This window comes from Homo sapiens, chromosome 17, assembly GCF_000001405.40.
Source record: "Homo sapiens chromosome 17, GRCh38.p14 Primary Assembly".
NCBI classification, from domain to species: Eukaryota; Metazoa; Chordata; class Mammalia; order Primates; family Hominidae; genus Homo; species Homo sapiens.
The window spans coordinates 49,652,290-49,678,817 of NC_000017.11; the positions used below are offsets into that span (position 1 = coordinate 49,652,290).

The 26,528-nt window shown below is 41.0% G+C and overlaps 1 protein-coding gene across 6 annotated transcripts in view, besides 2 other annotated features; it reads right to left on the reverse strand.

Annotated features, from left to right (window-relative positions):
- SPOP (speckle type BTB/POZ protein) overlaps positions 1 to 25,874 on the reverse strand; it is a 79,280-nt gene extending 53,406 nt beyond the window's left edge. For 2 of the 6 annotated variants that reach the window (NM_001007227.1, NM_001007230.1), the window contains exons 1-2: positions 25,644 to 25,874; positions 15,738 to 15,789 (exon numbers count right to left, since the gene is read on the reverse strand). The gene's annotated coding sequence lies outside the window, so the exon portion shown is untranslated. Of the gene's footprint in view, positions 1 to 15,737; positions 15,790 to 23,605; positions 23,728 to 25,643 lie in introns of all 6 variants that reach the window. The other 4 variants (NM_001007226.1, NM_003563.3, NM_001007229.1 and 1 more) reach the window with 4 other exon arrangements.
- Positions 24,256 to 24,305: an enhancer, noted in NCBI's record as "active region_12367". NCBI's record gives its function as "activates an Ori minimal core promoter by ATAC-STARR-seq in GM12878 lymphoblastoid cells {active_cell/tissue: GM12878}" and the evidence as "EXISTENCE:reporter gene assay evidence [ECO:0000049][PMID:35858748]".
- Positions 25,634 to 25,683: an enhancer, noted in NCBI's record as "active region_12368". NCBI's record gives its function as "activates an Ori minimal core promoter by ATAC-STARR-seq in GM12878 lymphoblastoid cells {active_cell/tissue: GM12878}" and the evidence as "EXISTENCE:reporter gene assay evidence [ECO:0000049][PMID:35858748]".

Here is a 26,528-nt window from a genome sequence, read left to right on the forward strand (position 1 = left end):
AGACAGATTTTAATCTTAAAGCTAACAACTAATCTTAACATTAGTAAATGTGTTTCTATTGCTTGTGCCTAACTGAAGTCAATCAACCATAAAAAATATTCATTGAATGTAGTTTGAATGTCCAGTCCCATGCTGAACTGCCAATCTCACCATTACCAATGTCTTTGTGTGGTTTGAATAAGGAGAAAGTGTTTCTGGCCTTGAAGAGCCAGGAAAAGACTCAACTTAAAAGAGTAACTCATATGTTCAAGAACTTAAGAGTTTCTCTTCAGTACATAAAATTTCCTCCTCTAGACAATTTCCTACCATCTCTTACAGTAAATTCTTCCTTTAAATAGCAAGCCATTTAGAAGTCACCAAAACTATACCCTGACCCTTTCATCCCTGCATACCAAATGGAACAAAAACACAGTAAAACCAATTTTAAACATCTAGAATAGTCAGCTAGGAATTCAAATCAGGAAGGGAAACTTTGGACTCTAGACCCAAATTCGCTTCAAATAATACTTAAGGAACTTATAAATATATTTCTAAGGGATTGGGCCCCTCAAAGTTACAAAACATGGGGAAGAGTTAAAACTACCACTTTATCATTATTGCCAGAGGTAGTTGCTTTAAGAACTGTCTTACAAAGGTCAGCATTTTATTGGGTCTTCCAAAAATCAATCCTTCACAATGAGAAATGGACGTCAGTTAAATAAACTGTTAGAATAAGAACAAGTCAATATATTCATAAGCTATTGCTATCCTCAGGGCCTGAATTCTAGTGCAGGCTTGAAGATACTTTCCTGAATCTGAATTTCCTCATTTTTTTTCCCCCTCATCTTTAATTGAGGGTGACTGTGTAAGAATCTCTAAGGTCCCTTCAGTGCTAAAGTTCTATGCCCCTTTGGAAACACTGTTAAAATTGTATCTACTTTTCTTCATATATGCATTTTATTTTAAAGAAAAGCAATATATATACATAACCTAAGTAATTCAAAAGTTACAGGAAGCTACAATTGAAAAGTAAGTTTCCTTCTAGATTTCAAATCCCTCTCTAAAGCCTTTAGAGAGGGATTTTTTATATCCTCAAAACAAACAAACAAACAAAAAATGAACACAACAGGCATCTACCAGCATATATATATATAAAATACAAATAATATTTTCCCTGTAGACACACTTTATTCTTTCTAATGGTTGCAGAGAATTCCACTGTTACCCTGCCGAATGGTTTCCATGTTTTTGCTACTGCAAACAATGTAGCAAACAAGTATATCTAAACATAAGCACAAGTAGGCCCAATAGCCTGCATGCTGTTTATTTTGATATTGTCAAATTGCCCTCCAAAATATATCAATATGTACTTCCAATGTGACTCCCACTTGAGCATCTACCCTCTTTGATACATTCAGGATGGTCAGAGATAGTCACAGAAGAGTGGGTACAAAAAAAACCTTTCAGTAGAAGAGCCAGTGAGATTTAGACCAAAAAAAGAGAAAGTCAGAAATGCCTTTTATAAATACAAAAATAATATAAATATATAATATAAATATAATATACACAATATATAAGTATATAATAGATATGATATGTGGTACTTTGTTTACAAGATTTAAGTGTTGATGCTTCCTTGCAGAGCTCTGAAAGAAGATACAGACAGAAAAAAAGTTTTTTCTATTCAAGGAGAGTAGGTGAGCAACTTGTATTGCAAATCCTATGAATCCCAAGAAGGCCTAATTCTGTCTTAGATCAGGATGTGAATTTAAATGTACAACTAAATTCCTCTACATATAATCTGGCCTCTTTCACCCAGAAATGGTTATTAGCACAGTGAAAGTGAATTTAGTTCTTTGTCTTTGTCACTGACAAAGGATACCTATTAATGCAGCCATTATCCCCCAATTAAATAGGACAGTGCACAATTCCAGAGGTGATAAACATGTTAGTAAAACACATAGACAACAATTCTTCAGGCATTTTTAAAACTGTTTGTTTTTTACTAGTGACAGTGTCTATCTATGTTGCCCAGGCTGTTCTCAAACTCAGGGACTCAAGTGATCCTCCTACCCTGACCTCCCCAGGAGCTGAGACTACAGGTATGCTGCCACCACAGCCAACTAAATGTTTAATTAAATAACTGTTACAATGTCTGGCATGTAGTAGATACTGAATAAGTAATTATTAAATTAATTCATGGCATCCACTTTGGAAATTATGTTAGTTTCTTTTTTCCTTTCTTTCTTTTTTTTAAAGAGACAGTAGCACTTTGTGAGGCCGAGGCCAGCGGATTGCCTGAGCTCAGGAGCTCCAGACCACCCTGGGCAACATGGCAAAACCCTGTCTCTACTAAAATACAAAAAATTAGCCGGGCGTGGTGGTACATGCCTGTAGTCCCAGCTACTCAGGAGGCTGAGGCAGAAGAATCGCCTTAACCTGGGAGGCGGAGGTTGCAGTGGGCTGAGATCGCATCAATGCACTCTAGCCTGAGTGACAGAGTGAGACTCTGTCTCAAAAAAGTAAATAAATAAAATAAAATAAAATGGCATTCTGGTTTATTTTGTCAACTGTTAGTGAGTTTTGCTAACTACTTTTCCCAAGACCAATTAACTCTGGTAACAATGAAGAAACTGAGTTTACTAGCAAAACTGAGGAACAGATCCTGAATCTTTAAGACTCCACCAAGTTAACAGCATCCTAAGAGGGCCTGTCAGAAAAGCCAGTCAGTCACCTTATGGTGCCTTACCTTGGTCAAAACTTGTATAATTTAGTGAAAAGAATGTAACACTAGGAAGGAGATACTTAACATACACCCCTGATAAGCTCTGAACATGGTTATATACTTTAAAAAGAAAGTTACTGAGTTTAAAAAAGTACTAGTCAGTTCTCAATTTTCCATATTAAAGGATGTAAAAAGTGATATAAATATTCCAAAACAGGTATTAAAAAAGAAATTCTTGCCGGGCGCAGTGGCTTACTCCTGTAATCCCAGCACTTTGGGAGGCCAAGACGGGTGTATCACGAGGTCAGGAGATCGAGACCATCCTGGCTAACACGGTGAAACCCCGTCTCGACTGAAAATACAAAAAATTAGCCTGGCGTGGTGGCGGGCACCTGTAGTCCCAGCTACTCGGGAGGCTGAGGCAGGAGAATGGCGTGAACCCGGGAGGCGGAGCTTGCAGTGGGCCGAGATCGCGTCACTGCACTCCAACCTGGGCGACAGAGCGAGACTCCGTCTCCAAAAAAAAAAAAGAAAGGAAATTCTTAACATTTTAGTTTGGAATGCATGATGTAATTTTTCCTATAGATTTACATCCAAAATTCTATCTTGGCTGAAATAATAGTAATTATTTACGTAGCCTGGACATAGATTAAAAGACATCATGGGAGTGAATTCAAGATAAAATAGGAACTCAGCATGAGATAAATGTTGATGGATAATGTATATGAGGATAATTTAAAACTACTATATAATAATTTCTCTCGATCTCACAGCATATTCTAACAGCTCAGTCTTAGCCATAAAATAATTTTCGAATGAAAAAAATTTTTTTTTGAGACAGAGTTTCGCTCTTGTTGCCCAGGCTGGAGTATAATAGCGCAATCTTGGCTCACCGCAACCTCCACCTCCCGGGTTCAAGTGATTCTCCTGCCTCAGCCTCCTGAGTAGCTAGGATTACAGGCATGCGCCACCATGCCCGGCTAATTTTTTGTATTTTTAGTAGAGACGGGGTTTCTCCATGTTGGTCAGGCTGGTCTCGAACTCCTGACCTTAGGTGATCCACCTGCCTCAGCCTCCCAAAGTGCTGTGACCACAGGTGTGAGCCACCGTGCCCAGCCAGGTATTCTTAAAAGTTATGTAATAATCTCTGTGCCAGAAAGAACTTCAGAAACCACCTTGTCTGAACTCTTTGATATTACAAAAGAATCTGAGATCCACAAAAGTTGCAACTAGTCTATCTATAGAGAACTACAAAGTAAAATAAATATTTAAGTATTGGGAAGATCATTATTTAAATAATCCACATATAAAGAACCTTTCTCCAGTATTTCTTGTAAAAAGAGACTTCAATGTATCCAGTTTGCTTAAAATTAGGCCACATCTAGATACTGCTTTATCTTACACTTGCATACTACACAACTTCAGATGTACTAAAAATAAAATCAGTCCTCTGGGACATAACTCCCATAAAAACCTCTCCACTACACCACAACACAAACCCTCCTCTCCAATTAGTTGACTCTAGCCTGTTTGTCAGCTCATACATACAACCATATGCCTTTCTCAAATTTATTCATACCACCCCGAAAGCCAGAAATGTTCTACCTCCTATCTGAATACTACCCTTCCAGGTCCAAGTCAAGTCCTACCTTGTTCTGAAGCATTTCCTAACTGCCCCAGTATACTCTAAATTCCTAGTGTCACTTTCTTGGCAGTTAACAAATGTTACTAAGAACCCATTAGCTGCCAATTAACGTAGGATGCCCAGAATTTTAATTCTCTGTATGTTTTTCCCTATTCCAAAATTCTCTTTTATAGGTCTAGTGAGATCTAGGAATTGGTACTTAAAAAACAACTTATCAGATGGAAAGAAGAAAACAGTTGCTATACGAATAAAACTGATTTAGGCCAGGCGCAGTGGCTCACGCCTGTAATCCCAGCACTTTGGGAGGCCGAGGCAGGCAGATCACGAGGTCAGGAGATCGAGACCATCCTGGCTAACACAGTGAAATCCCGTCTCTACTAAAAAAAAATACAAAAAATTAGCTGGACATGGTGGCGGGCGCCTGTAGTCCCAGCTACTTGGGAGGCTGAGGCAGGAGAATGTGGTGAACCTGGGAGGCGGAGCTTGCAGTGAGCCGAGATTGCGCCGAGATTGCGCCACTGCACTCCAGCCTGGGCGACAGAGCAAGACTCTGTCTCAAAAAAAAAAAAGAATAAAGTTGATTTTTTTACCTTTATCAAAATGTCCTTTAATGCTGTTTACATATTTTTTCAATTACAAGAATATTTAAGGAATAATTAGGAAAAATCTAATATTGTACAGCAATTCTACTTCAGGAATAAATCCTAAGGAATCAATATGATTGATGTATAAAGATTTATGTACAACGATGTTCATCACAGCAAATTTTTTCTTTCTTGAGATGTAGTCTTGCACTGTCACCCAGGCTGGAGTACAATGGCGTGATCTCGGCTCACTGCAACCTCTGCCTCCTGGGTTCTAACGATTCTCCTGCCTCGGCCTCTCGAGTAGCTGGGATTACATGCACCCGCCACCACGCCCAGCTAATTTTTGTATTTTTAATAGGGACGGGGTTTCACCATGTTGGCCAGGCTGGTCTTGAACTCCTGACCCTATGATCCACTCGCCTCGGCCTCCCAAAGTGCTGGGATTACAAGCATGAGCCACCGCACCCGGCCTTTTTTTTTTTTTTTTTTTTTTGAAACAGAGTCTTGCTCTGTCACCCAGGCTAGAGTGCAGTGGCGTGATCGCGGCTCACTGCAACTTCCACCTCCCCGGGTTCAAGCGATTCTCCTGCCTCAGCCTCCTGAGTAGCTGGGACTACAGCAGCGTGTCACCACACCCAGCTAATTTTTTGTATTTTTAGTAGAGACAGGGTGTTACCATGTTAGCCAGGATGGTCTCAATCTCCTGACCTCATGATCCGCCCACCTCAGCCTCCCAAAGTGCTGGGATTACAGGCATGAGCCACTTCGCCTGGCCATCACAGCACAATTTATAAGGAAAAACTGGAGGAAAAAAATTCATTATTGGGAAATTGGCCAAATAAAGTATGATTAATCCATAAAACAGAATTCTATGTAGTTACTTTGAGAAGTTATTTTTTTACTGGCATAAAAGAGGTCTACAATATGCTGAATTTTTAAAGCAATTTTAAAAACACACAATCAATTTTTTATAGATATAAATATCTACATGCACATACACATTTAGAGAAATGCCCAATAAGATGTTCAGAAAACGTTAACTGTAGTTAACTCTGTATGGTGGGATTTGGGGTAATTTTTTACTTTTTTCTTTATACTTTTCTATTTTTTTCCACAAATTATTTCATAATCAGCAAAAGCAAATACTTTTATTCTGAAAAAATACCATGTTGATTTTTAAATCTCTTTTTAAGGATTCATGTGGAGTGCATTACTCCCTTTTACTACTAACACCACCAATAAAGAGCCACATAGGTGCTCCTAATGAGAAGTAATTCCTAACAATATGTCAAAGTGGACTGCAAGGAACTTCCCTGCTGTTTTCATGTTGTTTCTTCAAGCCAGCAAGTTTCTGAAATAATTTACCCATAGCTTTCACTGAAGGGAGTTTCTCACCTATGCAGAAGATGTTTCCATCGGCGGTGGCAGGACAGATAGCAATGAGTCAAGTCATATTTCAAAGGTGGACCATCACCACCACCATCATCAGACAACCAAGCGGAGAAGAACTACCACTGCTGTAGCATCTCTGGTCAACAGATTTGAGTACTGGGATACACTGAGACCAACATGGTACTCTGTGTCTTTGTGTTGACCAAATGTCAACGTCAAGGGCTCCCACAGCCATTCTACTTCATGTGCTCATCCATGCTCCCACACCTTAGCAAAGATCTGCTTGCAACTTTCTCCACTTCCCAGACACCAACTTCTGAATTTTTCTCAGCCCTCTTATCCCTCTACTAAGAAGGAGAGAAGAGTTAAAATGAGAAAATAAAAAGTGCAAAAGCCCAAAGGAGGACCTAGCTGGGTATGCTGGAAGAATAGAAAGAAGGGCAGTATAGCTTGAACACGGTCATCAAAGGAAAACACTAAAAGAAACAGGTAAGGACCACATCACAGAGATCCTAACAGGTCAGAATAAATCTGGGGATGTTGCTATTTTCATAAATGTTGCTGCTCCCATGGTGAATCAATTTTATGCAAATGAAAGTGTTTCATTTTCAATGTACGAAAATCTATTTCTTGATCTACGTTTTGAACCTCATCTACTCTTCCAAAACTCAGTGCAATAGACCCAACTGCCTGCCTGCTAGGCAGCCTCTCCTAAACATCAATACAACCAAAGCCAATCACTACCTGTTTTCCCAAACCAGCTCCTCCGACAGCTTCGTATCTGCTAATGGACGGATCATTCACCTAGGCTTTATATCTCAAAGTTATCTTTCATTCCTTGCCTATTGTCCACCTCCGTTACACACAGGCTCCTCAGTCCTTAAACCTCCAACCTACTTATATTTTTCTAGAGCCACTGACACTATCCTGATTCAAATTAGCACCAATTCTTGTTCAGATTAGTAGAGTAGGCTAGTTTCCATATCTCCAGTTCTTTCACCATTAAGTTTGTCCTACATGATGTTATTTAGATACTTTCAAGACCATCAACAAGCGGATGATATAAAATTGTATTACCTCAAGCTCTGATTTCATTTCAAGCTCCACTCATATATCTGCCTACTTAACATATTTATACTTAGCCTCATTCGCATCTCAAATTTAACATGTCTAAAATTGAACTCCTGATTTCTGATCTTCCCTCCAAATTCCACACCTACTCCTCCCATTCCTATCTCCCACCCTCATCTCAGTGACACGTCTACCCATCCAGTTGCTTCAGCCAGAAACCTGGGAGTCATTCTTGACACTTTCCTCTTCCTCAACCCCCACACTCAATCTATAATTAAATGAATTCTTTCTTTAACATACTTCTCAAATCCATCCACTTCTCTCCATCTCTTCTGCCACTAAGTCCCACCTGCAGAGATTCTTACTTAAGTGGTATGGGTGCAGCCCAGGCACCAGGAGTAGAAAAAGTTCCCCAGGTGATTCTAACAAACAGCTAAGAGTGAGAACCACTGCTCTACAACATTTGGACTTCCACCAACCTCTCTGACCTCATTTCTACTACTTTCTCTCTTGTTCACTTAACTCCAGTCATGCTGGCCTCCTTGCTGGTTCCTTGAGTATGGCAGGCACATACATACCTCATGGTTTTTGCTATTTCTTTTGTCTAGAGTGCTAGTTCTCTCCTGCATCTTCTACAGATATTTACTCAAGCATTACCTTTGATGTGAGTTAGTGAGGTCTTCCCTGGCCATTCTATCTAAAATCACAACACCTACTCCCACCCCAACATTCTCTATCTATCCCTTTTTCGGGTCGTATTTTTCTCCTTGAAACTTATCACTTTCCAATAAACCATATATTTTATTTATCTTGTTTGCTGCCTGAATATAAGCTCCATGAGAGTAGGGATTTTTGTCTGTTTTTGTCTCCAGCATTTAGAATAGCATCTGGCACATAACTGGTACCCAATTAATATTTAATGCCCCAGAAAGGCCTTCCCTGACTCCTCCACCTAAATTTAATCTCCCCATTATTTTCCTTAATAATTTATTCTGGCCAGGCGCAGTGGCTCACGCCTATAATCCCAGCACTTTGGGAGGCCGAGACAGGCGGATCACGAGGTCAGGAGATCGAAACCATCCTGGCTAACAGGGTGAAACCCCAGCTCTAATAAAAAATACAAAAAAATTAGCCAGGTGTGGTGGTGGGTGCCTGTAGTCCCAGCTACTCGGGAGGCTGAGGCAGGAGAATGGTGTGAACCCGGGAGGCGGAGCTTGCAGTGAGCTGAGATTGCGCCACTGCACTCCAGCCTGTGTGACAGAGCAAGACTCCATCTCAAAAAAATAAAAAATAATTTATTCCTTTCCTTCATTACATTTACAATAATTTATAACTGCATTAGCTTGCTGAAGTTCCTTTTCTAGACTGCAAATTCCATCAGAGTGGGGATTTTCTATGAGGCTCACCATTATACAAACTTTGCCTCACTTATATGGCACACAGTACCTACTAAAAAAATAGTTAATAAATCAGTAACAAAATTTGTGAAAGCACACCCTAATCATGTTATTTCTTCAATCAAAAGTTTTCAATCTCTCATGCTTTACCACATTAAACCCAAACTGCTTGGCCATGGTCGAAAACCTTCCAAGCTCTGAGCCCATTTATTTTCCAGTCTTATCATCCATTATCCCATCTTCTGCTTCAGCCATGCTATGCTCTTCATCATTTTCAGTACACACCCTATACTAACACTGAGCTTCCCCACCTCCACATTTTCACTCATGACATTCCTTCTGCCTCAATTCCCTTCCCCATCTCTGCCAATGGAAATCCAACCTTCAAAATACCCACCCTTCAAAGCCCAGCTCAAAGGTAACCTTCACGAAGACAGTCCTGAATCTCACCCCAGCTTCCCCAAAGAACTCTTCCTCTTCTAAGCACCAAACATATAATACTGCTTTAATCCCCCACTCATTTTGGAACATACCCCTCCCTGTCTTTCTACTATGCTTTTGCTTATAGTCACTCAGCAGGTATTTGTTAAAAAGAAAAGTCAGTTAACACTATTCCCTTCCCTTCTCTACCATAAAACATATTTAAGGCCGGGTGCGGTGGCTCATGCCTGTAATCCCAGCAGTTTGGGAGGCTGAGGCAGGCAAATCACCTGAAGTCGGGAGTTCAAGACCAGCCTGACCAACATTGAGAAACCCCGCCTCTACTAAAAGTACAAAATTAGCCGGGCATTGTGGTGCATGCCTGTAATCCCAGCTACTTTGGAGGCTGAGGCAGGAGAATCACTTGAACTGGGAAGGCGGAGGTTGCGGTGAGCCGAAATCATGCCAGTGCACTCCAGCCTGGGCAACAAGAGTGAAACTCCGTCTCAAAAAAAAAAAAAAAAAAAAAAATTTAAATTTTTGGGGGTAGGGAGGTCTCTTCCTCTTTAGAGAGACCCTTTAATGACCAAAAGATACAAAGCTAGAATGGAGAATTCTCAGTATGAACTTTCTCTTCTATGCCTTTTCTAGAAAGGCAGGACCTGCCCAAATGCAATTTTTAAAGCTCAGATTTTTGCCCCCCTCAGATTGTGACAGATTTTCAAAATATATTCAAGTGCTTGAAAAAAATGTTAAGCTGTATGTACTACTACATGAGACAAATTCCATAAGCTTCATTAAAATGGTTTCCCCTAAGATTATTATATACTTGAAAGACTATCTGGCTGAAAATCCAAACACCATAAACTCTGCTGTTAGAAAATGGTAATTCCAGGCCAGGCGCGGTGGCTCACGCCTGTAATCCCAGCACTTTGGGAGGCCCAGGCGGGCAGATCACCTGAGGTCAGGAGTTTGAGACCAGCCTGGCTGACATGGTGAAACCCCATCTCTACTAAAAATACAAAAATTAGCCGGGCACCACCACATGGCAGGCGCCTGTAATCCCAGCTACTCGGGAGGTTGAGGCAGGACAGTCGCTTGAACCTGGGAGGCGGAGGTTGCAGTGAGCCAAGATTGCGCCACTGCACTCCAGCCTGGGCGACAGGGGGAGACTCCATCTCAAAAAAAAAAAAAAGTAAATGATAATTCCTAGAAAAACATTTCTGTTCAAAAGAAATTTGAAACTTTTTATGATCTTTAAAAATATCCCATTCGTGTTGACATTATGTTCAGTGATGTTAAGTGACTGCACTAACGATCCGGTAAAATTCCATCAGGAAACACCTGTACTTCAAGTATTGACCTTTGTTTCCCCACCCACACCCTCTCTTAAGGTTATGGTTCTCAAAGTGTGGTCCCAGTAGATTCCTGGAGGTCCCTTTCAAGTGGTCTGTGAAGGCAACATTATTTTCATAACAATACCAAGAAATTGTTTGCCTTTTTCATTATGTTGATATTTGTGCTGATAGTACAAGAGCAATAATGGGTAAAACTGCTGGTGCCTTAGCACAGGGGTCCCCAGCCCCAGGGCGGCAGACCTTACCGACCCATGGCCTGTTAGGAACCAGGCGCACAGGAGGTGAGAGGTGGACGGGCGAGCAAGCATTACTGCCTGAGCTGTGCCTCCTGTGAGATCAGCCATGGCATGAGATTCTCAAAGGAGCCTCAACCCTACTGTGAAATGCAAATGGGAGGGATCTAGGTTGCAAGCTCCTTATGAGAATCTAATACCTGATGATCTGAGGTGCAGCAGTTTCATCCCAAAACCATCCCAACTACCAGGTAGTGGAAAAACTGTCCTCCACAAAACCAGTCCATGGGGCCAAAAAGGTTGGGGACCACTGCTAGCATGAGCTATTACTCATCAGCATAAGTAATGACATCGAACTGTACTACAGTCATTGTCTTTTGCCATCACACAGGTGACTTTAAAAAACAATTGCTTGCACTTAAGAATGTTCTTGATGAAGCAATAAAAATTATTAATTAAATCTAAACCCTTGAGTGTAGGTCTTTTAAATAGTCTGTAAAAAAACTGGGAAGTATGCATAAAGCACTTCTGCAAGATACTCAAGTACAATGGGCTGTCTCCAGGAAAAGCACTTGTGACTCTGAGTTGTGAGTTGAACTAGCTGCTTTTTCCATGGAACCCTACTTTTACTTGGAACAAAGAACAAACTGGTTATTTAGACATGAATATTTAGCAGACATTTTCTTGAAAATGGAGTCTGTCACTTTGAGGAAAACAAGTGACAGTATTTGTTGCCAATGATAAAAACCAGGCTTCTAGAGAAAAACTAGAATTCTGGAAAATCTGTAGCTACTTGACAGCTTCCCAATACTTATAGACTTTGCTGATGAAATGGGTGGTGATATAACTAATGTGGGTTTTTGTTATTGTATTATAAAATGTTTAAACATTTAGAAGATCTGCTTAACTCAATTAACAAGTATTTCCCAAAAGACCGCAGCATGATATTCTAAAATCACATATGGGTAAAAGATCCATTCAAGTGCAAGTCAGGTTAATGGATTTTAATGTAACAGTAACATCAATATGATTTCAGATTTCATACTGCAACTTAATTTATAAGAAACTAACACTTGTCAAGTTTTGGTGTAGTATCAGAGAAGAATATGCACAATTGTCTGAAAAGGCTATAAAATACTTCTCCCTTTTCCAACTACATGTTCTTTCAGGCCATATTTTCTTTGGGTACTTCAATCAAAACAAATTGTCACATCAGACTGAATAGAAGCAGATATGAAAATCTAGCTGCCTTCCATTAAGCTGGATATTTAAGAGACTTGCAGAAATGTAAAAAATGCAACTCTTCTCATGAATTTTTCTAAAACATTTTTTCATAAAAATATATTATGTTAACGAGAAAGGTTTATTATTTTATAGTAATAAATATTTTTAAATGTCTTCCATTTTAATATCTAATTTGGTAAATATCAATTTATATAACCCACATAAACAAAAGCTCTTTAGGGTCCTCAAAAGTTTTTAACAGTGTAAAAACTCCTGAGACGACAGTGAGAATCACTGTTCTAAGAAAAATACGCCTGATTCCAGCCACTCCCAAAACTGCTCTGTTTGTACCAAAATCTCCCACTTCCTCACCCGCAACTGAAGTTGAACCTGGGGCAGGTATCTGGCCCGGAGGAAAATCAACCTTTCAACTGACCATATCAGATCTCCCCCAGGAATCTGAATTATGCCTCATGGAGACTAAAGCCTATTTACAGCAGAACACTAGAGTCCATAAACTCTTGCGGAAGACCCTGCTACTGTTTTGGTTCCAGCCTTTTCTGAGGTTTGGTTGTTCAGCTTTTCCTTAGATTCTGCAACAGCTATTTCCTTTTTCCTTTAGATAAATCTCCCCTGGCTTATGTTTTTTTCAACCCTGCATGTGGCATCAGAAACTCTTTTATATGAACTGGTTTGAATAGGTTTCATTTCCTTATGATCAAGGAAGTCTTGACACCATAAAACTTCGATGCTTTTACCCAAACTGTTTTATTTGGTATCCTTATACAAGACACCAAATTATAATAAGGTTCCCTTCCATTTGAAGATATCCCTATATAAAATTACTCCAACAAAACTAAAAGTTGAATGGAAATTGTAGGCTCATTCAAAACAAGTGATCAGTTACTAGATAAGGAAGGTGTAATTTTTCTTTTCTTTAGGAAAAGTCCATTATATATCATGTGAATATATTTTGGACAACAAATAGCTTCATTAAAATATACCAATTTGGGGCCCGGCGCAGTGGCACACACCTGTAATCCCAGCACTTTGGGAGGCCAAGGCGGGCGGATCATGAGGTCAGGAGATCAAGATCATCCTGGCTAACATAGTGAAACCCCGTCTCTACTAAAAATACAAAAAAATTAGCCAGGCGTGGTGGCAGGCGCCTGTAGTCCCAGCTACTCAGGAGGCTGAGGCAGGAGAATGGCGTGAACCCAGGAGGCGGAGCTTGCAGTGAGCCGAGATCGCACCACTGTACTCCAGCCTGGTGACAGAACAAGACTCTGTCTCACAAAAAAAGCAAAAAAAGATTATATATATATACAGACACACACACACACACACACACACACACACACACACACACACACACCAATCTGGCCAGGTGCGATGGCTCATTCCTGTAATCTCAGCACTTTGGGAGGCTGAGGCGGGTGGATCACCTGAGGTTAGGAGTTCAAGACCAGCCTGGCCAACATGCTGAAACCCCATCTCTAATAAAAATACAAAAATTAGCCTGGTGTGGTGGTGCACACCTGTAGTCCCAGCTACTCAGGAGGCTGAGGCAGGAGAATTGCCTGAACCCAGGAGGCGGAGGTTGCAGTGAGATAGCGCCACTGCACTCCAGCCTAGGCAACAGGGCGAGACTCCATCTCAAAAAAAAAAAAAAAAATACCAGTATGACAGAAAGTCTGAAAAATAAAGAACAAGGGAGTGAGACTTGCCCTATCAAATATAAATAATTATTATAAAGCTATGAGAATTAAGGCAGTGTAGTACAAGATAGGCAAAAAGACCAATGGTATGGAATAGAGAAAATACAGATACAAACTCTCATATATATGGAAACATTTAAGTGGCATTAGAAAAGTTGTAGGGAACAGATGGACTATTCAATAAAGGATGCTTGGTCACTAGATTATCCTTATGGAAAGAAAATTGGATCCATATTTCAGGGTTATCTTTATGAAAAAAAAAAGTGATCTCTACTTCACAGGAAACATCGAAATAAACTCCAGGTGGATTAGAGACCTAAAGGTGAAAAGCAAACTTTTACAACTTTTAGAAGAAAATATAAGATGAAACCATTACCTCCATATAGGGGAGGATTCCTTCATGAAGACAGACACACACACACACACACACACACACACACACACACACACACACACCCATATAGGAACAATATAATAAATCTGATTGCATGAAAATCTAAAACTCAAGGCCGGGCACAGTGGCTCATGTCTGTAATCCCAGTACTTTGAAAGGCCGAGGCAGGCAGATCACTTGAGGTCAGGAGTTTGAGTCCAGTCTGGCCAACAATGTAAAACCACATCTCTACCAAAAATACAAAAACAAGCCTGGTGTGGTGGTGGGCACCTGTAATCCCAGCTACTTGAGAGGCTGAGGCAGGAGAATCACTTGAACCTGGCAGGCAGAGGTGGCAGTGAGCCAAGATCGCACCACTGCAACTCCAGCCTGGGCAACAGAATAAGACTCCATCTCAAAAAAACAAAACAAATCTAAAACTCAGTTTGATAAAAGATAAAATTAAGTTTAAAAACAAATTAAAGGGCTGGGCGTGGTGGCTCACGCCTGCAATCCCAGTACTTTGGGAGGCCAAGGTGGGTGGATCACCTGAGGTCAGGAGTTCGAGACTAGCCTGGCCAACATGGTGAAACACCATCCTAGTAAAAACACAAAAATTAGCTGGGCATGGTGGCGCAAGCCTATAATCCCAGCTACTCGGGAGGCAGAGGCAGGAGAATCACTTGAACCTGGGAGGCAGAGGTTGCAATGAGCCGAGATCATGCCATTGCATTTCAGCCTAGGCGACAAGAATGAAACGCTGTCTTAAAAAAAAAAAAAAAAAAAAAATTAAAACACACCCATTAGGATGGCTACTATTACAAAAAAAAAATTTTTTTTTAACAAAATAAGTATTGCCCTAAAAGGGATATCCAGAGCCTTAAAAAAAAAAAAAAGGCCAGGTACGGTGGCTCACGCCTATAATCTCAGCACTTTGGTAGGCCAAGGCGGGCGGATCACTTGAAGTAAGGAGTTCGAGACCAGCCCGGTCAACATGGCGAAACCTCGTCTCTACTAAAATACGAAAATTAGCTGGGCGTGGTGGCATGCGCCTGTCATCTCAGCCACTTGGGAGGCTGAGGCAGGAGAATCGCTTGAACCTGGGAGGCAGAGGCTGTAGTGCACCAAGATCGCACCACTGCCTACCAGCCTAGGCAATAGAGTAAGACTCCATCTCAACAGGAAAAAAAGAAAAAGTATTAGGCTGCAGAGAGGTTAGCACTTTTGTGAACTGTTGGTGGCAATATAAAATGGTTCAGCCACTATGGAAAACAGTATGGAGTTTCCTCAAAAAATTAGAAATAGAATTACATGATCCACAATTCCACTTCTGGGCATATACCCAAAAGAACTGAAAGCAGGGTCTCGAAAAGATGTTTGTACACTCATGTTCATATCAGCATTACTCCCAATAGCCGAAAGGTAAAAACAACACAAGTGTCTATCAACAGATAAAGGGATAAACAAAATATGCAATGGAATATTATTCAGCCTTAAAAGAAAGGAAATCCTAGCACATGCCACAACATGGATGAACCTTAAGGACACTGGGCTATGCGAAACAAGCCAGTCACAAAATAGACAAACTCTGTATAATTCCACTTACACCACTCACCTAGAGTAGTGAAATTCCTAGAGACAGAAAGTAGAAGGGTGGTTCCCAGAGCCTGGGGGTGGGAGGAAACAAGAAGGTGTTTAGTGAGTACAGAGTTTCCGTATTGCAAGATGAAAAAGTTCTAGAGATCTGTTGCATAACAATGTGAATATACTAAACACCACTAACTGTATCCTTAAAAATGGTTAAGGTGGTAAATTTAATATTAAGTTTTTTACCACAATAAAAAGATTGTTTATTATGTGTAATAATAAAAAACTCAAAATACCTTATGTGTATTAAACAGAAAATGGATAAACCGTGGTACAGCATATTCATACAACCAAATACTAAACAGCAGTTAAAATGAACTCAAGTTACATGTATCAACATAAATATATCTCAAAAAAACATACTAAGCAAAAATATTAAGGTAAAGAATGGTATTGACTGGAGTATATAGTACATATTGGATTATAGCACAGTTAGAACATAATAAACACCAAATGCAAGATAGGTGTTACCTCTAAGGAGGGAGGGAAGAAGAAAATAGGAGTACACTAAGGCTTTGCTATTTCAGTAATGTTTTATTCACTAGAAAAAGTATCTGGGGGCAAATATAATAAAATGTTAAGATTTTATAAAGCTGGGTGATAAGTATATGCATGGTATTATTCTTTATATTTTTCTATATGTTTAAGATATACATATATACACACATATATATTGACATATATATAGACATATATACACTCATATATATACATATCTTTTTTTTTTTTTTTTGAGACGGAGTCTCTCACTCTTGTCACCCAGACTGGAGTGCAATGGCACGATCTCGGCTCACTGCAAGCTCCACCTCCCAGGTTCCCGCCATTCTCCTGCCTCAGCCTCCCGAGTAGCTGGGACTACAGGCGCCCGCCACCATGCCCAGCTAATTTTTTGTATTTTTAGTAGAGACGGGGTTTCACCGCGTTAGCCAGGGTGGTATCGATCTCCTGACCTCGTGATCCGCCCATCTCGGCCTCCCAAAGTGCTGGGATTACAGGCGCGAGCCACCGCGCCCGGCCTTTTTTTTTTGAGATGAGTCTTGCTCTGTCGCCCAGGCGGGAGTGCAGTGGTGCGATCTCAGCTCACTGCAACCTCCGCCTCCCAGGTTCAAGTGATTCTCCTGCCTCAGCCTCTCAAGTAGCTGGGAATACAGGCGCCCGCCATCATGCCCGGATAATTTTTGCATTTTTAGTAGAGACAGGGTTTCACTATGTTGGCCAGGCTGGTCTTGAACTCCCGACCTCAGGTGATCCACCCGTCTCAGCCTCCCAAAGTCCTGGGATTACAGGCGTGAGCCACCACGCCCAGCCTAAGATATTTTTATAATTAAAAAATTAAAGAAACACCCAAGAATGATCAATAAAAAATAAATTAAAAAAAAAAAAAAGCAAGTTGTAGTACGGAATATTAAAAAAAAAAAAAAATTAAGACCAGGCATGGTGGCTCATGCCTGTAATCCCAGGACTTTGGGAGGCTGAGGTGGGCGGATCACAAGGTCAGGAGATCGAGACCATCCTGGCCAACATGGTGAAATCCCGTCTCTACTAAAAATACAAAAATTAGCTGGGCGTGGTGATGTGCGCCTGTAGTCCCAGCTACTCGGGAGGCTTAGGTAAGAGAATGGCTTGGACCCGGGAGGCGGAGGTTGCAGTGAGCCGAGATCGCACCACTGTACTCCAGCCTGATGACAGAGCAAGACTCTGCCTCAAAAAAAAAAAAAAAAAAAAATTAAGACAGCATAAAAGATGTTCACTGAAAAACTGTCATTTTTATTTACAGAAAATTTCTACATGGTTATCTGTTTCCAAATATCAAGTAAAGGAATATATAAATCTCAATTTGAGGAGATGAATGATCACACATACATTTTTCCTCTTACAAATAAATAGATATATAGATGGGGAGATTAGAGGCTTTCAAAGAACTACTGACATGGCAAGGAGATTTACACTAACAGCTTTTTAGAAAATCAAAAGTCAAGAATAAAGGTCTCCATGGTCAAGAAGGTGTTGCTGTCTGAATGGTTAATTCCCTAAGGTCTATATCCAGCTCTCCCAAAGCTGCATGACCAGCTCTGTCATAGAGTACCTAGGCAACTCCTTGCCAGTTCTATTAAAACATGATCATAATTGGAAGAATGACAGCCCAAGCATTTCCTCAAGAATGTGTACTTTAGAATTTCTTTTTCCTGTAATGGGAGCTTTTCAAAAACAAAAATAAAAGCAGCTACTAGGTCTTATTGGCAAATGTGTCAGAATAGCCTTTCGGAGAGATTCACTATGCCTGAAAACAAACACAAGAAACAGGTGTGCTTCCCTGAATATACAACCAGGATTTAATTTGGGACCAGTATTGTTATGAAACCAGGTTGAGAATAACCTTGTAAATATGACAAAATGGTAAAAAGAAACTGAAATATGAATTTCAGATAAATATCAGAATACTGTTATTATCTGGCTTTGAGTAACCTGAAATCAGTAAGATTACTCAAATACCACTACATTGTAGGAGTCTAACAAAACATTTTTTGCTAAGATAGGAATTAGTCCACTCCGAAACCCACTTTAGAATGCAGTTCTGCTGTATCTTTCATTTGTATTAACCTTTATTAGTGTGATGAATTTTCAGAAAACATTGTGGCTGCCCTGACTTTTCTCCTGAGTCTACAGTACATGACAGAAAGCCACAGGATTCAGCACTGTTCCAGACCCTGAGTTAAGACAGCTAGATATCAGAGTTTACGGCCTATCTGAAATTTTTCCCTAATTAAGAACAATTTGCCTCACTTCTTTATGATGAAAATCTAGTAATAAAAAAAATATGCGATTACAGCATAATCTTACATAACACTGTGTAGAGATGAGGAAAAGGGAAGACATACTTGTGCATAGACGCACAGATGTTTTTATATAATAATAAAACCGCCACATCCCAAAGCTTAGAAACACACAATTTCAACTTCTAAATTTTATTCTGTGTGCCTTTCATCTTAGAAAAAAACAAGTTTGCTCATGAGAGGTGGGGACAACGGGGTGGTCAATGCTCTCTTCAGAGATACTGCCTTTCACGAAGAATATTCAAGACAAGGAAGCTGTGAGTTCTAACATCCAGAATCCAGCAATGCCAGTGACACAGAAGCGAGTCAAACACTAGGTACATCAAGTTAAAATTAAAGCACCTTTAGTTTTTAGAATTTGGTTCCAGAAGCTCCATATGGTAGACAAATAACCTGTTAGAGGTTGGTGCAAAAGTAATTGAGGTTTTTACCATTAAATGACAAAACCGCAATTACTTTTGCACCAACCTCATAATTTACTGAAAGGGAAGAAAATGTCATATACATAAAGGTTAAGGGTAAGGGTTCTGCATCTAGGACGGGAAAAATACAAAGTGAGCTAGGAACTTCTTGTGACAGAAAGCAAGGAAGCACTCATAGCTCAAGCTTAAAGGGCTCCCACAGGCCAAATACAGGACAGTGTGAGCATCAAAAAGAAGGTAATGTTGGTAAAACAGAATAAACTAAAATCCATGACACTAAAACAATGAGAGTGAAAAAAACTCATTTACCACCATTAGAGATGATATTGTACCATTTCCTTACTCAGAAAAGTGTTAAAGAAAAAAAATTAAGAATTTACCTCAATTTTTTAGTAGAAATTATAATTTAGGCCAGGCACAGTGGCTCATGCCTGTAATCCCAGGACTTTGGGAAGCAGAGGCGGGAGGATCACTTGAGGTCAGGAGTTTGAGGCCAGCCTGGCCAATATGGTGAAACCCCATTTCTATTCAAAACACAAAAATTGGCTGGGCAGGGTGGCTCACGCCTGTAATCGCAGCACTTTGGGAGGCCGAGGCAGGTGGATCACAAGGTCAGGAGATCGAGACCATCCTGGCTAACACGGTGAAACCCCATCTCTACTAAAAATACAAAAAATTAGCCGAGCGTTGTGGTGGGCACCTGTAATCCCAGCTAATTGGAAGGTTGAGGCACAAGAATCACTTGAATCCAGGAGGCAGAGGTTGCAGTGAGCCAAGATCGCTCCACTGCACTCCAGCCTGGGAGACAGAGCAAGACTCCATCTCAAAAAAAAAATTATAATTTATTCCTAACCGATGAGGAAAATCCTTACAGAAGATTGAAAGCAAATCAGTGTAAAAGAAATGACAGAATCAGAAAAATCACTATTTCCAAAAACCAATGAATTAACTGATTTAGGCAAAGATCATTATCATGAGGTGAAATGTTGCTGGAGAAGTGTAACAGTACAATGCCAAAGTAGCACCACTCCACAGATAACTTACTAATTACAAAGGGGGAAAATTGTCTTTACAACAAATGAGTCTGGTATTTACCACCTTAAATGATCAAACAAACTCAGCATCATTAATAGTGGGACATTATGACATTGTGTTTCTCCTACTATGATGCAGCGAGGAGCAAAGAAACACGTACAAAGTAGTCTCATCAAAAATGTTTAATGATAATCTAATCAGACCTTTAGAGCTCAATATCTGTTTATGAAACTATGAAGAAATAACCAGAAAATCCCATAAGTGATATATTCTACAAGACAAACAGCTCGGGCTCTTTAAAAACCAGTATCATGAGGCCAGGTATGGTGGCTCACGCTTGTAATCCCAGCACTTTGGGAGGCCGACGCAGGCCAATCACTTGAGTTCAGGAGTTCGAGACTGGCCTAGCCAACATGGTGAAACCCCGTCTCTACTAAAAATGCAAAAATTAGCCAGGTGTGGTGGTGGGCACCTATAATCCCAGCTCCTCAGAAGACTAAGGCAGGAGAATGGCTTGAACCCTGGACGCAAAGGTTGCAGTGAGCCAAGATCATGCCACTGCACTCCAGCCTAGGCGACAGAGTGAAACTCCATCTCGAAAAAAAAACAAAAAACAGTATCATGTGGCTTCTAAATTGTTCTAGATTTAAAGAGACTAAAGAGATATATTTGGAGGAAAAAAAGAAGTGTCATCTTCAAGACAATTGGGAAAATCTGAACACGAACTGGATATTAGATGGTATTAGAGAATTACTGTTAATTGCCTTAACTGTGACAATATTATAAGCTTTAAGGAGATACAGCTGAAGTATTTAAGGGTAAAGTGTCATGATGTTTGCAATACAAAAATTTATATATTTAAATATATATGCACGGCTGGGCACGGTGGCTCACGCCTGTAATCCCAGCACTTTGGGAGGCCAAGGTGGGTGGATCACGAGGTCAGGAGATCAAGACCATCCTGGCTAACATGGTGAAACACCATCTCTACTAAAAAATACAAAAAATTAGCCGGGCGTGGTGGCGGGCGCCTGTAGTCCCAGCTACTTGGGAGGCTGAGGCAGGAGAATGGCATGAACCCAGGAGGCGGAGCTTGCAGTGAGCCAAGATCGCGCCACTGCACTCCAGCCTGGGTGACAGAGCAAGACTCTGTCTCAGAAAAAATAAAATAAAATAAAATAAATATGCATATACATAAAGTAAATATAGCAAAATGTGAACAACTGTTGAATCTAAGTGATGGATATAAAGGTGATAATTGTACTATTTTTTCCATTTTTCTGTATGTTTAAAATTTTTCACTTAAACCATTATACGAAAAAAGAAAAAGGCTCCAAATGCACTTCCTCCAGGAAGGCCTCCCAAATGAACTCTCCTCTAACCCTTAATCATGTCTTCACAAGGTCCTCTCAGCATGGAACACAGTGTATTACTGTTCCAGTTCTGTTTTCTAATTGTTCTCTTATTATTTCCTATATTCAGTAGGTGTGGCTTTACAACAAGATTACATCTTTGGGCCGGGCGTGGTGGCTCAGGCCTGTAATCCCAGCACTTTGGGAGGCCAAGGCAGGCAGATCATCTGAGGTCAGGAATTCGAGACCAGCCTAACCAACATGGAGAAATCCCGTCTCTACTAAAAATACAAAATTAGCCGGGCGTGGTGTTGCATGCCTGTAATCCCAGCTACTCAGGAAGGCTGAGGCAGGAGAATAGCTTGAACCAGGGAGGCAGAGGTTGCGGTGAGTCGAGATTGCACCACTGCACTCCAGCCTGGGCAACAGCCGTGAAACTTGGTCTCAAAAAAAAATAAATAAATAAATAAAAAGATTACATCTTTGGTTTTGGTATCAGGGTAAGGCTGGCCTCATAGAATGAGTTTAAGAAGTATTCCCTTCTCTTCAACTTTTTAGAATAGTTTGAGTAGAATTGCTATTAGTTCTTCTTTAAATGTTTGGTAGAAATCAGCAATGAAGCTATCAGGTCCTGGGCTTTTTCTTTGATGGGAGACTTTTTATTATTGCTTCAATCTCGTTACTCACTATTATTGATCTGTTCAGGTTTTCTATTTCTTCATGGTTCAATCTTGGTAGACTACATGTGTCCAGAAAGTTATCCATTTCTTCTAGGTTTTCCAACAAGACTGTAAGCTCTCTTCAGGCACAGACATATTTAATTATTTTCTATTTATTTGAAGCTCATAGTGAAGTATTCTGCTATCAGCAGACTTAAAAAATGCTAGTACCAGTATTCTGTACCAAGAGAGCAGACCTCAACTAACTAGATTAGCTTTTCAATTTCTCACCAGAATAACAGCAGTTTACTTGGATAAACAATTTAAAGTCAGAGCTATCAAAAGGAGATCATAAATCATTTACAGGTTTACAGAATACTAACAGAGAAACTAGCATCTAAGAGTTAAAGGAAGAAATTGGAATATAGGTTTTTTATGTCTTCCTAGCATTGTCATGGATTTGCTATTATCCAGACATATGACTTTATTCTCATGACATTATTTTTCAAACAAAATCCTCCATGACCCCTCCCCAATCTGCAAAACAGTGAGGTATTTATACACAACTCTTCAGTGAAATGAAGCTTAACAAACTACATAATGAGCTTTAAAATCTTAGATAAAAGACTGCACAAATGATCAAAAATTTTGATAATAGTGTTGGTGAGAAAACAGGCAGACTCACACTGCTGGCAGGAATATAAATTCATACAACCTCTGTGGAAAGCATTTAGTAATACCTAACAACATTACAAATGCACATCCATTGATCCAGCGCTTCCACTAGGAATTTAAACCAACAGACACCCATGTACACAGAATAAGTACATACAAGGAATTAATTGTATCACTGGAAACAACCTAAATGTCCAATAAGTGTTGGCTGAATGATGGTACATCTACACAATGGAATTATCTGCCATCTTTCAAAAAGGAAGAGGGACTGTATTTACTACATGGAATGATCACCAAGATAAATAAAGTGAGAAAAGCAAAGTGCAGAATGAGCATAGTGTCTTATTGTGTAAAACAAACAAAAACAAAAAATGTGAAGAATATATAGGTGTATATGCTTGTAAAAGGATATACTGTCTCGGGATGAATAAACAAGACTGTTGCCTTTGGGAAGGGGAACTCATGGATAAAAAGAGGATGGTAAGAAAAGAAAGACTTCACTCTCTGTGTACCTTTTGAATTTTGTTTCATATGTATGTACATGTGTTAACCCATTTTAAACAATGATTTTTTAAAAAAGGCTCTGCACCAGTACGAATTATTTAACAATATTCGTCTTAATCTAAAAGCATTGCACGCCATCAAAATTTTAAATGAGGCTTCAGTGAATTCAACTAGACAAAATGTTTCTAGAAAAAATCAGGCCGGGCACAGTGGCTCGCACCTGTAATCCCAGCACTTTGGGAGGCCAAGGCGGGGGTGGATCACTTGAGGTCAGGAGTTCGAGACCAGCTTGGCCAACATGGCAAAACCTCAACTCTACAAAAAATACAAATTAGCCAGGCATGGTGGCACTCACCTGTAATCCCAGCTACTCGGGAGGCTGAGGCAGAAGAATCGCTTGAACCCAGGAGGCAAAGGTGGCAGTGAGCTGAGATCGCGCCACTGCACTCCAGCCTGGGTGACAGAGCAAGACTCGATCTCAAAAAAAAAAGGAAAAAAGAAAAAATCTAAGCATCCCAATGGCCGAAACCTACTGAGAAGACGGACACTTACTACAATAGTTTCACTTCTAGATACTACCTAAGTAATATCTAAGTATGGACATAGGAAACAGTAAACATCTCCAAATACCAAACTAGCTACTATGAAGAGCTCTAAAACGAGAAATCAATAAAGTACTAAATGGATAACAACTACCCCAAACCTAAGGGTGGGGTAGTCTTACAATAACTTCTACCTCTAAGGAAAAAAAGGTGAGTTTCCAGCTCTTTCCCAGGAAGATATATGCACCCCAAATTTCTCTGTTCCCTGTGTGTCATCTCTTGGTTCTAACTGTAACCATGGCAACAGGAAACAGCACAAAAGACAGCAGAACCCTGTAAGGGCCAGGGTTAAAAGGGGAAGTGAAAAATACATATACTTTAAGGCCCAAGAACATGCGGTTTTGGAGTTAACAGTGGCAGCCAAAAAAGCCTTGAGAGAAGAACATCAAAGAATACAAACTAAAGAGAATTGAAAGTAAGGCTTACTAATAGTTCCCTTCCCAGTTATCCAGCTAGGAGACGGGATTGGCAAGGAGAACTGAAAAACACAAAAAATGCCCCTCCTCTCGCACTCCCTTCCCCACAACAATTTAGCTATTCATTTCAATGTTATCTAGAAAATCTTTTGCTATTAAGATTTTATCTTTTCTTCACTCTGTTTTGATGGCAGAGGTAAGCAGCAGCAAAGTATCCAAAAAAAGGGCCACATATAATCGCTAACTGAAAACCCAGGTCCTAGATCACTGAAATACTATTGTACTTCAAAGTTCGTTATTTACATTTCTTTTTGTTATCTGCCAACGTGAAAGAAACATCACATTACTTAAAACCTCCACTGAATAAGTTATTGTCCACCAACAGTTTCAGATTGCTTTCCGATTTGTTTTCATGTTACAGAGCACCAATAAGGTACAGATAAAATGAAAAGTGCTAAGGAAGATCTTTGACCAAAAAAAAGGCAAATAGGTCACACAAAGTAAGAAGGCCGGTGCCCTTTATCTCTCTTATCTAGTTCTGCGAATTAAGAATTTTACTAAAATGAAATGCCTCACTTAGTTCCATTTATGACCCTTAGTCTTCTTTAGCAAGGCTTCCAAAATCCCCTGCCAGAATAAGTGATGGGATGGAGCACCCACTCCTAAATTTAGGGTAAGTTGGTACTAAAAGGTACAAGCACAACGATGGGAGTATAGGAATGGAAAAGTAATCCTAGAACTAGAAGATACAGTGACAGTTTCAAAAGAAGGGTCAGTGTGGGACACGCTGGCTCTGCGAGGCGTTTGTAGCCTGGGAGTCTCTAGGGCAACACCAGATGAGAATAGTGCTTTGTCCGTTAAGTCTTTCACATAATTTAAATTCTCCCCTTTGGACAGGAGCAACAGGCTCATTATCTGGCAGCAAGTCTAGCCCACAGCCTGGGAAGAAGGCGGACTCGTGCTCCACCGGCTCTTTATCCCGCAGGTCCCTGCAACACCGCGATGCGCATGCGCCCCCGGGGCAGCGAAGAAGCAGCCCGAGCGCGTTCACACTCGCGCATGCGCAGTCACCCATCTCGCCGCAGGCGACAGCTCAGTATTTGGCAAGGGGGATGGGGCTGGGAAATGATGGGGGGGCTGAAGGCAGGGGGCGCGTTTGTGTCTTCTGAATGCTTGAGATAGGGAGAAGGGACGGCTGATTCGGCTCTGGCATTCGCAGGCCACGTAATCCGGGTGTAGGAAATGGGACTGAGGAGAGTATATGTGTGTGGCGGGGGGTGGGGGGACAGTGGGGGTCAGTCACCTCTTCAGGGAGGTGCCCCCCCCCCACTCCGACAGGACAACCCCCTCCCTCGACTCTCCTCCCCCCACTCACCTGAGAGCGGCGGCGACAGCTGCTGGTCCCCGTCCCCCTGCGCTTGCCTCATACTGTCCGCAACATCCGGGACCTGCGGGACCGCCGATACACAAATACACACACACTCGGAGCGCGCACACTCACACACACACATACACACCGACACACACCAGCCGGGGCGTCATGGCGTCAGCACGTCGACGCAGCCAGCGCGTACCGCCAGACCCCACCCCGCGCGGCCTCCTCCCCATTACTCCCTTCTCCTCCCCTCCCCTCCCTGGGTTTCCCTGCTCCTCCTCCCTCAAGACTCCGCCTATCTTTCCTAGTGCGCATGCGTCTCGGGGCCAAGTCAGGGCCCGGGGATTTGAGAGGAAGGAGGGGCCTGAGTAAAAAGAGGCGGGAACTTGGAGGGGGTCGCGCGCAGGGCGCGGGAGCCCGCTGCGAGGTGCGAGGACCAAATAGAGGCGTAACAAGCCAAGGGTCGGAGTGGGCAACGGAACAGTTAAAGGCATTTCACAACAGCGATTTAGGTCTGCAAGCAGTTTATGGAGTACCAACGACTCTTATATGTATTAACTCATTTTTTAAAAGCCAGCCCTGTCAGTAAAATATTTTTTGGACTTTATGATGATGCTAGAGACCCTTTTAGGTAACTTTTAAAATTTAGCACTTGTAAACAAAAACAAGGACTATCCTTTCAGGGGAAGGCAGGAGATATAGGTGATCTAACTAAAAGGAAGCTGACCACGCATGGTGGCTGACGCCTGTAATCCCAGCACTTTGGGAGGCTGGGGTGGGCGGATCACCTGAAGTCAGGAGTTCGAGACCAGCCTGGCCAACATGGCGAAACCCTATCTCTACTAAAAATATAAAAATTAGCTGGGCGTGGCTGGGTGCGGTGAC